This window comes from Homo sapiens, chromosome 2 (genome assembly GCF_000001405.40).
Source record: "Homo sapiens chromosome 2, GRCh38.p14 Primary Assembly".
In the NCBI taxonomy this organism is placed as follows: domain Eukaryota; kingdom Metazoa; phylum Chordata; class Mammalia; order Primates; family Hominidae; genus Homo; species Homo sapiens.
In genome coordinates this window covers 4,995,867-5,004,149 of record NC_000002.12, presented here as the reverse complement: position 1 = coordinate 5,004,149, position 8,283 = coordinate 4,995,867, and the positions used below count along the sequence as shown (strand labels likewise).

The 8,283-nt window shown below is 39.8% G+C and overlaps 1 annotated feature.

Annotated features, from left to right (window-relative positions):
* Nucleotides 3,023-3,524: an enhancer, noted in NCBI's record as "OCT4-NANOG-H3K27ac hESC enhancer chr2:5140759-5141260 (GRCh37/hg19 assembly coordinates)". NCBI's record gives its function as "activates a minimal SCP1, AML or CMV promoter by ChIP-STARR-seq in naive H9 embryonic stem cells {active_cell/tissue: H9 hESC(naive)}" and the evidence as "EXISTENCE:reporter gene assay evidence [ECO:0000049][PMID:30033119]".

Genomic DNA, 8,283 nt, shown 5'->3' with positions numbered 1-8,283 from the left:
GGCAAAACAATGTGGTTGATAAGGCGCAGATCCTGAACTAACTTGTAAGGCTTGTCTGGTTTTAGGACAGATAAAATGGGGGACTTGTAAGGAGAGTTTATAGGCTTTAAAAGGCCATGCTGTAGCAGGCGAGTGATAACAGGCTTTAATCTTTTTAAAGCTTGCTGCGGGATGGGATATTGGCATTGAGTGGGGTAAGGGTGATTAGGTTTTAATGAGATGGTAAGGGGTGCATGATCGGTTGCCAAGGAGGGAGTAGAGGTATCTTATACTTGTGGGTTAAGGTCGGGGGATACAAGAGGAGGATGCAAAGGAGGCTTTGGATTGGGAAGAAGGGCGGCAATGAGATACAGCTGTGGTCCAGGAATAGTCAGGGAAGCAAATAATTTAGTTAAAGTGTCTCAGCCTAATAAGGGAACTGGGCAGGTGGGGATAACTAAAAAGGAGTGCTTAAAAGAGTATTGTCTAAGTTGGCACCAGAGTTGGGGAGTTTTAAGAGGTTTAGAAGCCTGGCCGTCAATACCCACAACAGTTATGGAGGCAAGGGAAACAGGCCCTTGAAAAGAAGGTAATGTGGAGTGGGTAGCCTCCGTATTGATTAAGAAGGTGACGGGCTTACCTTCCACTGTGAGAGTTACCCGAAGCTCGGCGTCCGTGATGGTCTAGGGGGCTTCCGAGGCAATCGGGCAGTGTCAGTCTTCAGCTGCTAAGCCGAGAAGATCTGGGAAGGAGTCAGTCAGAGAGCCTTGGGCCAGAGTTCCAGGGGCGCTGGGAGTGGCTGCCAGGTGAGTTGAAGTCTGATTTTCGGTGGGTTCCCACACAGATGGGACACGGCTTAGGAGGAATCCTGGGCTGCGGGCATTCCTTGGCCCAGTGGCCAGATTTCCAGCATGTGTAGCAAGCTCCTGTGGGAGGACGTTCTGGAGGAACGCCTGGCCGCTGCGGTTCAGGCATTTGGAAGTTCTTGTGTGCTGGAGATGTGGCTGGGGTTTGTCTCACAGTGGAGGCAAGGAATTGCAACTTTTTTCTATTATTGTACACCTTGAAGGTGAGGTTAATTAAATCCTGTTGTGGGGTTTGGGGGCTGGAATTTAATTTTTGGAGTTTTATTTAATGTCAGGAGCAGATTGGCTAATAAAATGTGTTTTGAGAATAAGACGGCCTTTTCACCTTTTAGGGTCTAGGGCTGTAAAGTGTCTCAGGGTTGTTGCCAAACAAGTCATGAACTGGGCTGGATTTTTATATTTGATGAAAAAAAGCCTAAACGCTATCTGATTTGGGGTAAGGAAAAGGAGCATTAACCTTGACTATGCCTTTAGCTCCAGCCACCTTTTTAAGAGTAAATTGCTGGGCAGGAGCGGGAGGGCTAGTCACGGAACGAAACTGTAAGCCGGACCAGGTGTGAGGAGGGGAGGTGATAAAAAGATTATAGGGTGGAGGAGCAGAGGCTGAGGAAGAATTGGGACCTAGCTCGGCCTGGCGAGGAGCAGCCTGGGGAGGAGGGGAGAGGTCAGATGGGTCTGTAGAAAAGGAAGATTAGAAAGACTCAGCGACGCTTGGGGTTGGTACTGAGGGGACAGGCGGGAGGGAAAGAAGGAAGATTTGGGACGAGTTGCACTGGGCACAGAGACTAGGAAGGGACTGATGTGTAAAAGAATGCCTGGACGTCAGGCACCTCAGACCCTTTGCCTATTTTACGACAATAATTATTTAGATCTTGCAGGATGGAAAAATTCAAAGTGCCATTTTCTGGCTATTCGGAACTACTGTCGAGTTTGTATTGGGGTCAAGCGGCATTTCAGAAGAAAATAAGGCATTTAGGTTTTAGGTCAGTTGTGAGTTGAAAAGGTTTTAAGTTTTTGAGAACACAGGCCAAGGGAGTAGAAGGAGGAATGGAGGGTGGAAGGTTGCCCATAGTGAAGGAAGGAAGCCTAGAGAAAAGACAGAGTAGAGAAATGGAGGGAAGGGGTTTGGGGGTTCTTACCTTCCAGAAAAGTGGGAAAAGGGGTTGGGGCGCAGAGATAAGAGGTCGGGGTGTGGAAATAAGGGATGGGGTGCAGAAATAAGGGGTCAGGGCATGGAAATAAGGAGTTGGGGCATGGAAATAAGGGGTCAGGGCACGGAAATAAGGGATTGGGGTGCAGAGATAAGAGGTCAGGGTGCGGAAATAAGGGATTGGGGTGCAGAGATATAAGAGGTTGGGACATGGAAATAAGGGATTGGGGTGCAGAGATAAGAGGTCAGGGTGTGGAAATAAGGGATTGGGGTGCAGAGATATAAGAGGTTGGGGCATGGAAATAAGGGATTGGGGTGCAGAGATACGAGGTTGGGGTACTTGCCCCTCCTCTAGAAAAGTGGGACTTGCTGTTAAGAGTGAAGGAGAAGGGGTTGAGGGGTACTTTCCCCTCCCCCAGAAAAGCAGAGAAGGGGTAGAGACAAGGAGAGAAGGGGTTGTGGTACTTGCCCCTTCCCCAGAAAAGCGGGACTTGCCGCTAAGGGTGAAGGACCAAGGCAGGCGTCCTTGCGTGGTCTGATACCTTTGAAATATGGGTGAATAATCAGAGAGATGTCCCTGCAATGATTAAACACCAAGGGAAGGCTGCCTTCCCAGTCCGTGACCGGCGTCGGAGTTTTGGGTCCACGGAAAAAACGTGTCTCCTTCGTCTCTCCCAGAAAATGAAAGGAATTGAAATTAAGAGAAGGGAGAGATTGAAGAGTGGAAAGGAGAAAGTGGTTGAGGGACAGTGAGAGAGGTTGAAGAAGACAGTAAGAAGAGGCCGCTTACCTGATTTAAAATTGGTGAGATGTTCCTTGGGCTGGTCGGTCTGAGGACCTGAGGTCGTAGGTGGATCTTTCTCACGGAGCAAAGAACAGGAGGACAGGGGATTGATCTCCCAAGGGAGGTCCCCTGATCCGAGTCACGGCACCAAATTTCATGCGCGTCCATGTGAAGAGACCACCAAACAGGCTTTGTGTGAGCAACATGGCTGTTTATTTCACCTGGGTGCAGGCAGACTGGGTCTGAAAAGAGAGTCAGTGAAGGGAGATAGGGGTGGGGCCGTTTTATAGGATTTGGGTAGGTAAAGGAGAATTACAATCAAAGGGGGGTTCTCTGGCGGGCAGGAGTGGGGGTCACAAGGTGCTCAGTGGGGCTGCTTTTTGAGCCAGGATGAGCCAGGAAAAGGACTTTCACAAGGTAATGTCATCAGTTAAGGCAAGGACCAGCCATTTACACTTCTTTTGTGGTGGAATGTCATCAGTTAAGGTGGGGCAGGGCATATTCACTTCTTTTGTGATTCTTCAGTTACTTCAGGCCATCTGGGCGTATACGTGCAAGTCACAGGGGATGCGATGGCTTGGCTTGGGCTCAGAGGCCTGACAATTTTATTCCTCAAATTGTCCCAGCTTTGGCCATTGGGAGCTTGTTGCTTGGCTGTGTTAACTTGTCACATCTACATAACAGTGTGTGTGTTTCTGATTTTGTGTTGTTTTGTCCTAGTTCATTTGTGCTGCTATAAAAGAATATCACAGATTGGGTAATTTATAAATAGTAAACCTGTATTTCCTTATAGTTCTGATGGCTGCTAAGTTCAAGATCAAAGTGCTGAGAGGTTTGACTATCTCATGAGGGATTTTTCCAGGAGAGTGGAATGTCTTGTCCTCACATGGCAGAATAGCTGAAGAGCAAGCTAGTTGAATGGGAAGTGAAGCATATTTTACCAGTGCCTTAATCTCATTAAGAATGGTGTGGCCCTCATGGCCTAATCATCTCTTAGGGGTCCCACCTTTTAATAGTGTCATACTGACAACACCTGAATTTTGGAGGGGGCATGTTTAAATTATCATACTTACTTTCTGACATTATAGGATGGTCCAGGCTCATCTTATATATTTTCTGCTCTAGTCCTGGAAACATCCATTGATCCAAAGAATTCTGGTTTTTTTGTTTGTTTGTTTGCTTTTTGTTTTTGGGGTTTTTTTGTTTGTTTGTTTGTTTTGCATTGGAGAATAATATTAAAAACCAAGATATGGCTACTAGGTGTGTTTGTTGCAACTAAGATGTCATTGCTTCCAGGCTTTCCATATATATGAATAAAAATGCTTCTATATGTTACTGCATATGCTTTAGTCTGTTCTCTATGGTCATGACAGAATATGCCAGACTAGGTAATATATTAAAAAAGAGATTTATTTTTTACAGTTCTGGAGGCTGGGAAGTCCAAAAGTATGGCACCAGCATCTGGTGAGGGTCTTCTTGCTATGTCATAACATGGCACAGGGAATCCCATGGCAAGAGGGCAAGAGTGTGCATGTCAGCTCGTGTCTCTCTTCCATTTTTTTTATAAACTCACCAATCCTATCATAGGGTCCCCAACCTGATGACATTATCTATTTCTAATTAACTCCCAAATGTCTCACCTCCAATCAACATATACATTTGGGGATTAAGTTTTTAACACATGAAGTTTTGGGGACACGTTCAAACCATGGTAGTCTGTATCGTTCTTAAGCTAAAATGAGTTCATACTGACATGTACAACTTTAATTCATGACTGTATTGATTATTCTGGCTGCCTCTCTCTTGGTTATCTGTAAATTTTCATCCCGCTTACTTTATTGTTCCATTCCGACATACTGTTGTAGCAGTATCAGAATTGCTAAAATGTAACTCCGTGGGAAACAACTTTATCATCCAGGGTATAGTGCTTATGTGCAGTTTTGTTTGTCTTTAGTCTTACATACCTACAGTGCTTATTTCCCAAGTTACTGGAGCCAGGACCTTATCCCTCAACCTCCTCAGTGAACTTGTTTCATGTATTTGTAATACAGTTCATTCATTTTGTTACATTCTGCATTCCATTGTGGGATCCCCTGACCTCATAAATGATTTATCAGTTTTGCATACACTAAGGTTCACTCTTCGTGCTATAAAGTTCCATGCATTTTAACAAGAGCATAATGTCATGAATCTATCATTCAGTATCATGTAAAATAGTTTTACTATCTAAAAATTCTCCTGTGTTTCACCTATTTAACCATTTCCACTCTTCCAAAAACCCCTGGAAGGCACTGATCTTTTTTTTTCTTTACCATGCTCTAGTTCTGCCTTTTCCAGAATGTCACATAATTGGAATTGTACAGCATAAAGCCACTTCAGATTAGCTTTTTTCCCTTAACAATACACACTTAAGGCTCACTTATGTTTTTTCTTTTGCTTGATGGCTCAATTTTTCCATTGCTAGATAATATTCAGCATATAGATTTGCCATAGTTTGTTTACCCATTCACCTATTGAAGGACATCTTGGTTGCTTTCAGTGTTTTGTGATTATAAATAAAGCTACTATAAATATTCAGGTACAGGCATTTCGTTGGCACAAAGTTTCAAATCAATTTGGATAAATACCTAGAAATGTGATTGCTGTATCATATGTTAAAACTATGTTTAGCTTTGTTAAAAATTTCCAAACTGTCTACTAAAGCAGCTGTAACATTTACCATTTCAATCAGCAATGAGTGAGAGTTCCTGTTTCTCTGCATATTCTCCAACAACCAGCATAGTCAGTATTTTGAATTTTAGACATTCTAACAGGTTTGTAGTGGTATGACTAAAAGCCTATTAGATGACATTGTTATTTTAATTTTTAATTTCATAATGTCAGATGATGTTGAACATCTTTTTAAATGTTTATTTGCTATCTTTATATCTTCCTTAGTGATATGTTGGTTCATATATTTTGAACATATTTAAAAGATTTTTTATTTTATTATTCTTGTTTTAAGTGTTCTTCATATTTTTTAGATATAATCCTTTATCAGATATGTGTTTTGGAAACATTTTGTCTCAGCCTATGTCTTATCTTTTGATTCTCTTCACAGTGTCTTTCATAGACAAGAAATTAAAATTATTTTTAATTTTAAAATACACTCATTTAGTTTTTTCCCTTTTATGAATTACTCTTCTGGATTTGTATCTTAAAAAAATCACCGACTCAGTGTAACATAGATTTTTCTCCTATGTTTTTCTCTAGACATTTTGCAGTTTTGTATTGTACATTTAGGCAGATAATTATGATGATGATGATTTGATATAGACATTTAGTTGTTTCCACACTGTTTATTTAAAAGACAACCCTTTCTTTATTAAATTGCCATTGTTATTTGCCAAAGATTAGTAACTATATTTATGTCATTCTATTTCCACACTCTATTATTTTCTATCAATCTATGTTTTTGTTTGTTTGCTTTCCAACACCATGCTGTCTTGATTACTGTAGTGTCATGTCTTGACATCAGGTTGTATCATTCTTTCAACTTTGTTCTTCTTGAATGTTTTTAGGTATTTTGGGTCTTTTGTTTTATCACATAAGCTTTAGACTCAATTTGTAAATATCTACAAAATAGCTTGCTGGAATTTTAATTGCAATTACGTTGAATCTAAAAATCAGGATGGTAAAAATGGACTTTTAAACAATATTGAGTTTTTCAATCCATAAACACAGAATATGTCTCCTTTTATTCATGTTTGATTTTTTTTTTGGTTTTTTACATATATAATCTGTACTTAATTTCACATTCCCATTGCTAATTTTTCATATGTTGAAAAGTGATAAACCCTATATTAACCTAGTGTCTTACACCCTTGCTAGAATCACTTATTAATTCCAGGAGTTTATATTTCAATTATTTGGGATTTCTACATGACAGTCATGTCAGTTGTGAATATACAGAATTTTATTTATGTATTACCGGTCTATGTATCTTTTATTTCCTTTATCTCTAGGACTTCCAATTCAATGTTGAGTGGGAATGATGAGAGGAGGCAACATGAACATTTTTGACTTGTACCTGATCTTAGGGGTAAAGTACTCAACTTGTCACCATTAAGTATGTTAGTTATAGGCTTTTTGTAGATATTCTTCAAGAATTTAAGCTTGCTTTATACCTATTTTTCTGAAAAAAATTTAATGTAGATGAGTGTAGCATTATATCAAATGCTTTTCCTGAATTTTTGCATTAATTTATATAATTACATATTTTTTGTTTGGTCTGTTAATATGCTAGATTACATGAATTGATTTTTGAATATTAAATTAGCTTTGCATACCTAGTATACATGCCACTTGAGCAAGGTATACATTACTTTTTACACATTTTTAGTTTCAATTTGCCAATATATTTTGAGGGCATTTTGCATATAATCTCATGGAATATATTGGCCTGTAGTTGACCTTTCTTGTAATGTTTTTGTTTGGTTTTGGTATTAAGGTAATGCTCCTTTTACAGAGGGAGTTAAGAAGTATTGCCTCTGCTTCTGTTGCTAAGGGAGTACATGAAAAAGAATCATCTATAACGTTCAATAAATCTAGAAAGAGCAAGTCAGGAGAAATATTATATTTCTTAAGTTTTCTTTTCTTTACATTTTAGTTTGGGAAGTTTCTATTGACTTATCTTCAAGCTCTTCAGTATCAGATTTTTTTCCCTGAGATGAATCCAGTTTACTGAGGACCCTATCGGTGCTGTTCTTCCTTTTAGTTACGATGTTTTTATTTCTAAATAAATGTTTTTTTATTCTTTCTTAGAATTTCCGTTTATCTGCTTATATCACCCATTTCTTCTTCTATGTTGTCCACTTTTTAAATTAGAATCCTTAGTACATGAGTTACTTTAAATTCCGTGTGACAATTTGAAAATCTCAGTCAACTTTTGTAGCTTGCTTTGTCTTTTCAGACTGTTTTTTCTTGCATTTTACCAGGCCTTGTATTTTGTTGTGATTGTTGTTCAAAGGCAGATGTGATATATCAGGTAGTAATAGAAACTGAGGTAAACACCCTTTTATTTACGTACTTATTTTAATTTTTTTTTTAAGAGATGAAGATCTCCCTGTGTTGCCCAGGCTGGTCTTGAACTCCTGGCCTCAAACAATCCTCTTGCCTCAGCCTCTCTCGTAGTTGGAATTACAGGCAGGAATCAAAATGTTCGGCTAAATAGGTTTTTAGTGTGAGGTTTTATGTTAATCTGGCTAGGAGTAAGGCTGTATTTAATGTTTGTTGTATCTGTAGGTGCCAGAGGGCCCAAATTCCTTTAGTGCCCTTGTTTTCATCTCTTTTGTTGAAACTGAGCTTCCCCTAAGACCTCCTCCTTAAACAGTCTGTGACTTTTAGTTCTTTGAACTGTAATCCACTGTTATCATACTGGAGCCCTGTTGCTGCCATGGTAAGGTTCCAGGAAGGGGAAATGTTCTATAATCATAGAATCACTAATCTTATGAGTAAATCTCAAG